General features: G+C 50.2%; 1 protein-coding gene across 1 annotated transcript in view; it reads right to left on the bottom strand.

The window, feature by feature from the left end:
• Positions 1-12,935, bottom strand: part of MICAL2 (microtubule associated monooxygenase, calponin and LIM domain containing 2) — a 251,551-nt gene that overhangs the window by 69,076 nt on the left and 169,540 nt on the right. The window contains exons 28-30 of the mRNA NM_001393937.1: positions 11,966-12,132; positions 5,901-5,978; positions 768-922 (exon numbers count right to left, since the gene is read on the bottom strand). Of these exons, the coding sequence (NP_001380866.1) occupies positions 768-922; positions 5,901-5,978; positions 11,966-12,132 (400 nt within the window). The remainder of the gene's footprint in view (positions 1-767; positions 923-5,900; positions 5,979-11,965; positions 12,133-12,935) is intronic.

Genomic DNA, 12,935 nt, shown 5'->3' with positions numbered 1-12,935 from the left:
AGTCACTCTCTGGGCTGAAGCTGTGGTGGCACAAGGATGGCCCTTAAGACCTTTCAATGACCCTTTTTAACCTCCCACATTGCACCACTGAGAAAGGAGCTATTTCTAGCATGCAGGAACTTGGCCCTTGGCAAAGAGGGAACATGAGTGGACTCTAGGGGTGGCTGTGCCCTCCCAAGACCTCTGGTGCCTGAAGGGCAGGTCATAGCACAGGGGCTTCACCAGAGCACCCATCTTTTCTGTCTTGTGCATTCTACTTTCCAGAGTCTAGAACAGGCCTGGCAGGTAACAGAGGCTTGATAAATACATACAGAAGGAAAGAGTCCAGCCTGCATACCAATGATGACATTTTATATTCAAGGGAGATGTTGCTTCCAAGGTTCTTGGACCCTACCAAAGGGACCCTCACTTCTGTGCCTGCCATCCTACAGCTGCAAATTCCTCAATGCCCTTTGCAAGTTCTCAAGGGAAAGGTGTCCTAGCAGCTCTGTATCTCATGGAGACCTGGCATGGAGTCTAAACCCTGTAAAGTTTGCTGAGGGAATGACTGTGTCCTCAGGGATGGCTGTGAAGGAACAGCAGGAGCTTTTGTGAAAGGTATACATGAAGGCAGCTGGGGTAGACCCTTGACAGAGTATCTTCTGGCGCTGGCTTTGCACTTAGGTTGACCTATGAGCACGTGGAATCCAGAGATAAGTGTGGAAGGTGGGAAGAGTACAGGTAGGTTAGCTTCCTGACACCTGGGCAGGACCCTCAGGGACACTCACCTGAGGCGGGGAGGAACCATCTGGAGCATTCCCAGAAACACTGGTTGAAGAAGAAGATGGTGGGGAAGATGAATGGGAAGACGATGAAGGAAGAGGAAGAGAAGGAGAAGGGTCCTTAGGAGGTGACATAGTTCTTTTGTTCACTGGCGTCAAACCTACCAAGGAAAGAACACACTCTTCATTACAAAGGTGTTATTATTTTATCAAGAAAAGAGGAGGCTTTAAGTGAAGCTCCAATTCTATAAACAGTCAGAAAGAGGAAGATGTCAGAGCCTGACTCAGAGGTTCCTGGTGCCCAAGGCGTGGGACTCAGAGGAATGGGTAGAGCAGTGGCAGGGTCCCGTGGGGCAAAGGAAGTCCCAGGGTGAGAAGTCTAATAACCATTGTGTTTCAGACTCATGCGATGATGCTCTTGAGAGGTGTATCAGGGCATTTCCAGAACATTTCTTAGAAATGCTCATCTGCCTCCAAAGAGCATCCTAAAACCATTGTGGTTGGGAGCTGGGCTGTGTTAAATCACTCAGTCAATAAACCACCTGAGCTTTCTTCCCACAAGATGCTAGACCTTTAGCCATGGGCACAGACAGGATAGACATCCACGACTAATGAGATGGGCTCTTTCTTCTCATATGTGTGCCAAGAGGCTCTCAGACAGGAAGAGTCGTTTGAGATTTTAAGAGCACACAAGAGAGGGAGGTTACAGTGAGTATCAAATCATTGGAAGGATATGGAGTGGGCCCATGCCAAGCTCCTGTTGGTCAGGGAACAAACAGGATACAGTGTGGCTACTCAGAGATGGAGGTGAAAGGAGTGGGGCAGGGCCCTGAGGACAGGCCTGGTTCAGTGCTGTGGGGGGCTGAGATCATCTAGTCTGCTTAGAGCAGAATTCTGACAGTCATAGCCTACTGTAAGATCAACCAAGCTCACATGTGCGCACTGTCTTCCTCTCCCTCTCCCCTCCTTCTCCCGCTCTCCCCTTCCTCCCCTCAAGCATGGTAACCTTAAATCTAAAATCTCAAACATTTTGTCTCCATATTGGGTCATTTGAGATCACTTGTCCTCAAATTGATTCAGTAAAATGCCATGCTCTTTTTCAGATCTGCCCTCTCAGTACCTACCCCCAGCCCAACCAGCTCTCCCATGAACCGTGGTGGCACGTAGGGATGTCCCCCAGAAACTTCCCAGGACCTCCACGTGGAACGAGTCCACTCTCTTGTTCAACTCCCTGCTTCTGGCCACTCAGCGGACCCATTCAGATTTTCCTGCAGGGTGTGTAGCCTTCAGATTTTCATCCACTTCTTAGCGCAACACAATCCCCTGGTCTTAGTTTCCCCAAAGCTCTGAGTGAAAAGCTCTTCCTCAGGGACCCACACAGGCCAGGCCAAACCCAAGTCCCATCCCAAGAAGAGTCCCATTGAGTCCCCTCCACCCCCAGGAGGCCACACCGTTCTCGATATTCTGTCCTGCCTTCCCCCATACATCAATGCGAACATGTGCGACTGTGTGTCCCAGCCGTGGGCTCTGAACAGATGGCACCACACGCACACGGTCAGCAAGCTCCCAGAGGGAGGCCTCGCAGAAAGCTTTGGAGGGAAAAGGTAATTCTGGGAACAGATCTGATCTGAGGGCGGCAGGAAGGAGCTGCTGGGGAGGCGGCTGGCCTGCCTCCCACTACCGCACCCCCATCGCAGCCCACGATTAGAAGGTTCAAGCCTAAAAAGGCAAAAGTTGTGAGTCAGTCCTTGCCTTGCTTCCCGTTCTTGTCCTCAGTTTGCCAAATTCCTTCTTCCCTTCCTCCTTGCACCCTCATTCTCCCTCTCTGCCATCTTCTGAATCAAACTCCTTCACTTGCCTCAAGTCCCCTCAGCTCAACAGACTGCCTTTTTGTTCCCCCTGAGGATCCCTCAGGGACTTCCTGACAGGAAGCCAGGGCCACCTCAGGAAACAAGCCTGACAGAAACACCTCAGGTCTCACGAGGTCATGACCCAGAAGCCACTCCCTTCTTCTCCTTTCTCTAATCCCCACTCCCACCCCTGCTAGGGGGTCTCTTTCTCTCCACATGTGGTCCTCATGCACTGCCTTCAAGATGGAACTCCAGCAGGGCTTGAGGAGATGGGGGAAGCAAAGCCCCAGCTCAGGCCGAGCCCCTTGTCCCTGGGCTGCCATTCAAGCCACTGCTTGGGAGGTGGGCACAGCCTGGGGAGAGAGGTGATGAGAAACCTACCCTTCCTGATGCCCACTGTGTCTTGGGGTTCTCTCAGAAGATGGTGAAGGGGAGCCTGGAAGTCCACTCCTTCACACACATACCAGCTGCCTGGCTCTGAGCAAGTTACTTAACCCCTGTCTCCTCATCCAAAAAGTGGGCTGTCTGGTGCAGCTTCATGGGGTGGTTGAGCAGATAACATGGGCTAAAAAGAGATTGCCAGTTGGCCAGGCATGGTGCCTCACACCTGTAATCAGAGCACTTTTGGAGGCCGAGGTGGATGGATCACTTGAGCTCAGGAGTTCAAGACCAGTCTGGCCAACATGGCGAAACCTTGTTTTTACCAAAAATACAAAAATTAGCCAGGCATGGTGGTGCGCGCCTGTGGTCCCAGCTACTCGAGAGGCTGAGGTGGGAGGATCACTTGAACCTGGGAGGCGGAGATTGCAGTGAGCTGAGATCACGCCACTGCACTCCAGTCTGGGTGACCAAGTGAGACCCCATCTCAAGAAGAAAAAAAAAAAAAACAAAAAAAAACAAGAGGTGCCCAGTGGCACAGGACACAAAGTAAAAGCTAGTTGTCAGCAAAATATGAACTCCATTAGTTTCCCACCCTCTCACGCACTCAAGCCGCGTCCAGTAAAGACATTGCTGAAGCCCTGGCCCATTCCAGAGGGGGCTGCACACTCTACCCAGCCAGGATTTCTCCAACTCTTGAGCCAAGAGCTCCTCATTGGCCAACTCACATCCCCCTCTGCTGGCCGTTTCCTTGAAACCTTGGTATGGCCCACCGGGGGCTGCCTTGCCTTCTGCAGGGGTCTCAGTCACACGTGCAGCTGGCCCTTAGGGTTGTTTTGTGCGAAGGAGGCTGATGCGCACACCAGCGCCTGAGTTTCAGCATCCAGGCTGCCTCTGGGTCAGGCGCTTGTGCTACCTCCTCTCTGGGCCCTCTGGCAGCAGCAACCTTTCTCGTAGATCCTAGAGGTCATCTGGCAGCATGATCAGCTGGGGAGGGTGCCCAGGGCAGCCACATATCCCCTCCGGCCCTCCCACCTGGGGCTTGGGGCCAGAACCAGCTGTGATGGGGCAGTAATGCCTCTGGACAGGAGGGATGGTACCATGCATTCTGCTCCCAATGGCAATGCCAGCCCTGCTCCCTGAGGTTTTCTTTTGGGCAAAGTAAAGACAATAAAAAAGATGGCTCTCGTGGCTTTCAGCTCTGGGGATTTTCGGGAGACTGGGACTCCATGGTGCAGCTTCCCAGAACTTGGAGGTTTTGCAAGGCTCAAATCCCCCTCAAAGTCTTGGAGCGCCCTCTAGGGGCGGCAGCCTGAGCAGGCCTGAATCCATGTCCTCCCTTTGTACGCAGTCCAGCCAGCTCGCTCCTTGGTTCCTTACTTCATTCATTGATTCAGCAAACAAGGATTGGGTTCCTCCTCCGGGCCAGACCATGCTAGACACTAGGCTGATTGAAATGATCAAAACTCAAGCCCTGCCCTCAAAGCAGCTTTTGTATACTCTCGAGAAACGCTGTGCAATACTCCTTGATAACTAAAGGCTGAGTTTCCCAGGCCCATCCCAGACACCATGGGGCTGCTCAGCAGTCCTCTTGCTCCTGCACCTCCCCCAGCGACCCAGCCCTATTGGGAGGGTCTCCCACCAGCCTCCCTGCTCTCACCCCAGGCTGGGAGCTTCCTGAGGAGGGACTGATCCCCCACACTGGTGGCACACAGTAGAGTGGGCTGGAAGCCTTGGGATGGACCCTACACTCATATAGTCCGGGCCTGGGCAGCAGGCTTCCAGGGACTTGGGGAGGGCCAGAGCAGGGCAGTAAAGGCGATGACCCATGTGTGGCAATGCTAGCTCCTCTGCCCTCTGCTGTCGCCGCTGGGGGCTGTCAGAGGATTCAGGAGTGACTCTAGGCTGTCCTCAGATGAAGTGGCCTGCCCAAGAGTGCAGCCCTGGGTCCTGCTCCCAAGGTGCCCCTGTCCCAGCCTGACCTGGTGTGACGGTGGTGCGTCTGGGGATGGTGGGGGAATGACTCACTGGCTGGGAGCCTTGACTCAGAAGGAAGGAAGACCAGGGCTCAGTTCCAACTGCAACAACGTTTCTTGGTAGAAACCCCTGTCTAAGCCAAGGCCTTTCTGGGTCCTCCTCTCCTAGGGTGAGGCTGGAGAGGGAGTGGGTGTGGGGGGAGGTGGAAGGCAGCGATGAGCCTGGAACTGGATGAAGAGTCTCTGCCCCTCGCTCAGGGCCTGAGGAGGTAACTCTGCTCAGTGAGTGCTGCAGTCCCTGGATCCCCGGCCTGCCTAGATGCTGTGAGACTGTGCGTGTTCACTGCGCCCCCTGGCAGGGCCTGCCGCCTCAGCACCTGCCACAGCCCTGCTCTTCCCCAGGACACTGGGACCAAGGGTGACTCAGAAAAAGGAGCAGGTGTGTATGTGTGTGTATGTGTAGGGGTGTGAGTGTGTGTGCGTGTGCATGTGTGTGTGTGTGGATGTGTGGGTGTCTGTGTGTAGCATCCTGTTTTGTGTGAGGCCGTTAATCTGATGGCCCAGTCTCACTCCAGTGTACAGAATCAAATCATAGAGTTCCTGAACCTCAGTTTACTCATCTGTATTTCAAAAAGCTTAGAGGCAATGATGGCTAAGGCCCTGTCTGGGTGAAACTGTAGAATCCTAAGGCTCCATAATTCCTGAGCCAGGGGTGGGGTGGAGGGGGATGGGAAGATCTTGAGTCCCTTGGAAAAGGCTCCCTCTAGTCAGCAGTGGAAATAAAGTCAAGCTTATATTTTATTTCTTGCCTCTGACAACCAGGAGGCCATGCCAGAGAGATACCATGTAAGGAATGAGAACGGCTGCCCCTGAGAATTAACCAGAGATCTTCTGCCCAGCCCCAGCCTCCCACCCCCAGAGAGCTAGTGACTCACTCCACCAGAATTCTCTCCTCCAGTTCTGGTATTTGCTTGGGGTTGGAGACTGGAAGCTATTGGCCCGTTGCAGAGCTGCTGTGGAAAAAGAAAGGGACAGGGAAGATGGGGTGGGAGGAAGAGTCCATTAAATGTGTAGAGTAAGTAGGAATTTATCTCCTATAGCTCAATTACCACAAGTCAATAGACTAATGATTATAATAGACTGAACTCTCTCCTTCCCTCACACCATACTGCTGTCCCCACAACACACTCTACCAAACTTTTCATTTGTTCACACATCAAATATTTTTGTGTTTTTGTTTGCTTGTCACCAGGCTGGAGTGCAGTGGTGGGGTCATGGCTCACTGCCCCCTCGACCTCTCGGGCTCAAATGATACTCCCACCTCAGGCTCCCGAGTAGCTGGGACTATAGGCATGCACCACGACACGCAGATAATTTTTTAATTTTTATTTTTTATAGAGACAGGGTCCCACTGTGTTGCCCAGGTTGGTCTCAAACTCCTGGGCTCAAGTGATCCTCCCACCTCGGCCTCCCAAAGTGCTGGGGTTACAGGCATGAGCCACCACACCTGGCATCAAATATTTGAGACCCTGCTATGGGACAGGTACCACCCTCAGAGAATGCCTCAAATTATGAACCATCATTACTAAGATCATCAGTGAGCATCTACATGCATCTATGCGTATATGCATATGTGTAGACATATTTATACATGCATGTGTACATACGTACATGCACATATTCATTCATGTCAGAACAGTTATTTAAAGCTAAGGTCATCACGGGCCATCAATGTTCCATATATGTAATACATTAAAAACTGGAGCTGCTCTGATTGAAGCCAGGAAGCTGCAGGAAGTTCTACTCTCTGCCTCCCCTTTCCCCACAGAGCCCCCCAAACCCTTTGGAAACCAGGTTTAATTGAGGCTGTGGACCATCATTGCTGTGGCCCTCCCTTGGCCTGGTTCCAAGGGAAACATATTTGCGGGACACTGTACTTCCTGTGGAAGACCCCTCTGCCAGCTGGGCCTTGAGGATTAGCTGAGCAAAATGAACATCACATGCAGAAGAAAAACAGGTCTTGGTCACTTAGGGTGTGAGAGTGGGCAGTGGGGTCCACGTGTTCCCTGTTCCCAGGCAAGGCCTGCAGATGCATTCCCAGGCTTCAGGCCCCTGCGCCTCCATCACTGCTGGAGAGAAAGGATGGGGACGGTGAACATCTGAATGTGCACACAGGCAGGGCCAGGAAGCATGAACGGAAAGGAAGCCCAAGGGCATGATGTGGGTGTGGGAGATGGACGCAGGGAGGGTCTGAATCCAGGACCCTAAATCCAAGGCCCAGCTAGCCCAGCCCTCTGTCTTTCTTTCTGTCTAGAAACAGTCCTAGATATTCCACTCCCTGCCAGGTCTCACAGTGGAACTCTTTCTTAGCAGCCAGGCTGTGGAGCACAGGTGACAATTACTACCTGGGGGCTTTCCTTCCTCAAGACCAGCTCCTTCAGCTCCTCTCTTTCCCTTACTCCATTTGTGAAAATGCCTTTGCAAAAATTATAACTGAGAAAATTATGACAGTGACAGAGATCTGACTTAACCAATCCCTCTTGCTTCTAACCTCCACCCTGTCTTTGTTCATTCCTGGGCGTAGGCTGAACTAACTTTGGGAGGAACTTAGTTTATAGTTTAGTTTGGAAACAAAGACGATAACAGCCCTTTCCCCAGACAAACCCCCTTCCTGCCTGGGGACAAGACTGCCTTTGCAGGACTAACAAATTAGCCGCAAGATTAGAAATTGTGGTTTAAGAGTCATGCAGCTGGAAGTTGCAAGATTCCGAACCTTCCCAAATTGCATCTTGAGGCTAACATCACTATTGTAAAGCCTAAGATCAGTGCTTGGGATATTTTGCAGACTCTGCGCTCAGAGGTTCAACTGGCACCACCTAGATTGATAAACTGGCTCATCTGGTCTTTTAGCCCCCACTCAGGAACTGACTCAGTGCAAGAGGACAGCTTTGACTCCCTATGAGTTCATCTCTGACCTGACCAATCAGCACTCCCCATTTTCCGAACCCCTTCTCAACAAATTATCTTTAAAAATCCTGATCCCCGAGTTTTCAGGGAGACTGATTTAAGTAATAATAAAATTCTGGTCTCCTGTACAGCCAGCTCTGTGTAAATTAAACTCTTTTTCTATCGCAATTCCCCTGTCTTGAGAAATCAGCTCAGTCTAGGCAGCAGGCAAGGAGAACCCTTCGGGTGGTTACATTTGGAGGCGCTTCATGTCTGCTCTGTCTGGCAGGTTCCCAATCCCACAGGCCTGCTCTCAAAATCAAGCCCATGGGTTTGAGGAGGAGCCTGTATGGATGGGCACACAGTCTTCCCAGCTCCCCATGAGGAGATGAATAGCCCACCCCCCAATTGCTGGCTGCCTGGGCTTTCCAGGCTGGATGTTTTCCATAAGGAGCAAGCAGGTCTTAAGCACAGCTACATCCTGCTGGCCAAAGCTAGCCTCTTAATCACTTAATGAAGACATTTCTAAAAAAAAAAATTGCATAAAGCTCTAATTGCTTCTTCTTAGCTTGTAACTTTGTGGAATGGAACCTATTGGAAATGGCTAAAGTTCAAGAGAGATTTTCCATCACTGGTGTTAATAGAACACACATGCACACATTTTTACCACAACGGGAACAATAGGGTGGGTAGTAATGACTTCATCTAGTAATGCTGAGCAGCATAAAGTGGGCTGATCCCTTCTTTTTAGCTTATATTCTATGTGTGTTTATTTATTTTAAAGGAGCACTTTCAGAGATCTTAGTGCATGACCCACTGTAAAAGGAGTGAGAGGGTATTTTCCCATGTGGTGCTGATGATATCATTTCATTGCTACAAACTGATAAGTGTCCTCCATATTCCATTGGATCAAATTATTGCCAGAAAAAAAGATGGATAAATATCAATTCCTCTAAGCCAGAATAATTCGGGGCAGGTTGTTCTCCTAAATCTAATTAGTTTATAGCTAAGAGTCCAATGCACTAGATCGATTCATTTAGTTGCTTGGGTGTGGATTTCACAATGAATTCATCTAGGAAGGCCTTCCACAAAGCTGCATTTCTGAAACTCCCAAAGTGTAGAACATGGTCCACTGTGTCAAAGCCCCTGGGGATGCTTACACAGAATGCACACACTTGGCACCACTCCAGACCCACTCAATCTGAATTTCTGATGGTGAGAACCTGGGAATCTGCCTTTTAAACAAGATTATCACGAATCCCTGACCCTGATGTTTTAGGGGGCTTTCTGCAGCCTCCATAACATAGGGTGTGAGCTGTATTTCAGGCCATCCTCTTGGGCACGCTCTGTGAACTTTGAGGATGTAATAAGTTTCTTCATGTGCCAAGGTAGTCCCCGAAGTCTTTTTAAAAATTGTGGAAAATAATATACATAATATAAAAATTGTTACTTATACATTTTTAAGTCTAGATTTCAGTGACATTAAGTACACTTACCCTGCTGTGCAGCCATCACCACCTCACCACCACCCATCTCCAGAACTCTGCCCTCATCCCAAACTGATGTATGTCCTTTTATGACTGGCTTATTTCCCTTAGCAGCATGCTTTGCAGGTTCATCTAAGTTGTAGCACATGTCAGAGTCCCTTCTTTTTAAAGTCTGAATAACATTTTGCTGTATGGATATACTGCGTTTTGTTTATCCATTTGTCTGTTGAACATTTGATTTGTTTCCCCCTTTTGGCTAATGTGAATAATGCTTCTATGAGCATGGCTGGACCAACGTAGAGTCTTTTTTTTTTTTTTTTTTTAAACTCCACACTGCAACCAGGAGTCTTTTCAAAGCAATATCCTGGTCTTGTCTGGCATTCCCTTGGTCTACCTTGGAGGCATTTATCCAGGTGAGAATTGTGGTTAATGAAGCTCCATAAAACCCACACAAAGGGTCAACCCTGCATTATTTGGTAAAGTGATGGGGTTACCATAACCAGCAGCACAAAGCACAGCACTTAGACCTGTGCCAGAGAGCTTAACTGTACAATGTGGTCCACCTAGCAATGATAAAACAATGACTGATGAAGACTAACTCGACAAAGAATTGTTTGAGAGTCACGCATTCTACCCACTTACCTACTCTGTATTTTATTCTGGCGTTAAACTGGACTGTCAGAAACAAAATGCTTTGGCTTCACTACCCAACCCAACTAGTCTCCCAACACAACCCCATCCCGCTAAGAAAACTGCTATCACTGAGTCATGTTTTTTTGTCATGCCCTCACCTTCCAGCAAGGGTTGCTGTAAGAAACAGCCTCGAGAATACTAAGGCTGCATTTTCTGAGGAACTGTTAAGACATGATCGAACACATTTCTCAATATCATCTATTTGGTATGAGCCAGAAACTACAGAGTTAAGCATTAGGAGAAGTTGTGCCTACTCAGAGACCTGCTGCAAACCAATATATGTTTTCCTCATAAACAATGAGAGTAACGATGTTCTGTGTTTCCTTTTAAATGCTGGAAGCTAGAAAACTCAGAATCAAACTTATGATTCAATTAGAGCAACTGTTTAGGATTATGGTCTGCCTCTCTGGGGTCTATCCCTCCTAAACTGGTTTTGTTAGACCTGATTTTGAGGCTTGATCTTTCATATTTATAAATGTACAATTTTGTTTTATGTTTTTCTTGTAAGTTGCCTAAAACCGTCTGGCAATTGGAGGGGAAATGGAGGGAAGGGATGAAAGGCAGGCCAACTTCATATCTGGAAATGGGGAGCTGGAGCCCAGGGGGATGGAAGGGTACACCAAGGCCACGCAGTAACCAGAGGTGGGGCTGGACCCAGCTGGGCACAGGAGAGTACTCAGTTCAGTGCCAGTGCTGAGCCTTTCTGCACAGCCCCACAAATGGTACTTAACAAATGTGTTTGGATGATAATCTGTCCTTTTTAAAAAGTGTCACTTTTTTAAAAAATGAGGGTAAAATTCAACATTTCTAGAGTAAATTCAACAATTCCAGGATTTAAAAATATCTATATGAGTTCTTTCCGCCCCAGCCCTCGTCTTCCTGGGAAACCATCACTCCTGAAAACATTTCACGGACCAGGTGGCAATTCTGCTCATGACCACCAGGTGGCGATGCAGGACAAGTTGAGCTCCAGCTCTCCCAGGGCAACTAAGGCTGTGGGGCCATTGGGCAGCAAGTTTCCGTCAGGTTAGACTGTTTCTTCCCAGGCTCGTCCAGAAGTTACCCATAAATCAGACGATTTGGTCCCAAATTGTTGACTGAATCAAAACACTCAGTTCCAGGTCAACTTTGTATTAAACACAAGCTGGGCTGCTAAAGACAGCTACCTCTTAGTAAGCCAGAGCTTGGGCAGTGGTGGCTGGAGGGTGGCACCAGCACTGGCTGAGACTTCGGGAGACCACTCAGCCTGTTTGCTCACCTGTGAAACAGGCTTCGCACTAGTTACCCCACAGGGTCATCCTGGGATGACCACACGTATGGGAAAAGTCCTGGCCCATTACAGGTATGCAGTAAAAGTGTATTAATTGTTGTGTAGAAGTTTGGGTGCATCCCACAAGCCCCAAACACTGGTAATGGCCCCGGTGCTGTGCAGGTGGTCCCAGGGAGATGATGCCATCCAGGGCTGCATGTTGTCCAACAGCAGCTGGACCCAGCTCCCTTCCCTCAGGGGCTATGGGATGCTGGAGGGGCCCCTAAGGAGGTGCCCATACAGGAGGCAGGAGAGCGATCACTCCAGGCAAGAGAGACCTGCGGGCCCCTGATCCCTGCCAGCCTGTGACCAACCACAGCCAGCCAGTCCCCGTGATGTCTTCCCCACTGGGATTCCAAAGCTTCTCATGGAGAGGGAAGCCAGGCCTGGTTCAAGTCCCTTCACTGCCACTTGCGTCCCACTCCCCAAAGGTCCTAGCCCCACCGCCTTGAAGCCTGAGGGCGAGGCTTCCTGTCACCTGGTCCTCCAAGAGGGAAATTCAGCTGTGGGGGTCTCTGTTCCCTCCCCACTTCCCAGAATCAAGCCTGGTGGGCTCTCTGCTTACCGTGCACAGCTCTGGGCTCCTCAGGGCACTGTGGAGAGACTGCCCTGCTCAGGGCCTCCCCTAGGGACGTGTGCGGTAGATGCGGGGATCCTGGCCGCCAGGGTTTCTCTTCACAGGGTTCTGTGTGGGAGCCCTCGCTGCCACCATAGTCAGACTCTGTGTCAGAGCTGGAAGGAGGAAGGAGTGGGTGGGTGAGTCAGGGGGCCTGGAACCCATGCCCCAACACACCCACACTGCGTCCTGCCCAGGACTGCTCCAGCGCACCTGGGGGGCCTGGGCTTAGTCCTGTGTGCCCAGAGCCCAGCTTCGGACTTTGTTATGGGTTGAATTGTATTCCTGAAAACTCATATGCTGAAGTCCTAACCCCAAGTACCTTCAGATATGACTGCATCTAGAGATAAGGCCTTTAAGGAGGTCATTAAGGTAAAATGAGGTTGTTAGGCTGGGCCCTTGTCCCATGCACCTGATATCTTTCTAAGAAGAGGAAATGTGGACACACACAGGCACAGAAGGAAAACACTATGCAAACAGGAAGATGCCATCTACAAGCTAAAGAGGGAGGCCTGGAACAGATCCTTCCCTCCAATCCCCCAGTAGGAACCAACCCTGCCCACACCTTGATCTCAGACTTCCAGCCTCCAAATCAGTGAGAAAATACGTTTCTGTTGTTTCAGCCACCCAGTCTGTGGTGCTTTGTTATGGCAGCCAGAGCAGAACAATACAGGCTTGGCTCAGAGCAGAAGGGGCCCAGCAATGCATGAGGAGCTGTTTGAATAAAGCCTGCTCTGCTCACCTGCACCTGCCCCGGAGCATGACTCCTAAGGTCTCTCTGGTCAGATAAGCTCATCATTAGGGACTTGGTCCCGAAACTTCAGGCATTTAAATACTGCTCTCTTCCCCATGGAATGGATGAGGGAATGGAAAATTCTACCTGGGTGGGGGTGAGGGGTGGGTGGTATTTAACATGGGC

This window comes from Homo sapiens, chromosome 11, assembly GCF_000001405.40.
Source record: "Homo sapiens chromosome 11, GRCh38.p14 Primary Assembly".
NCBI lineage: Eukaryota > Metazoa > Chordata > Mammalia > Primates > Hominidae > Homo > Homo sapiens.
Note: the sequence above shows the minus strand (reverse complement) of the source record. Positions and strands in the feature narration are given on the sequence as shown.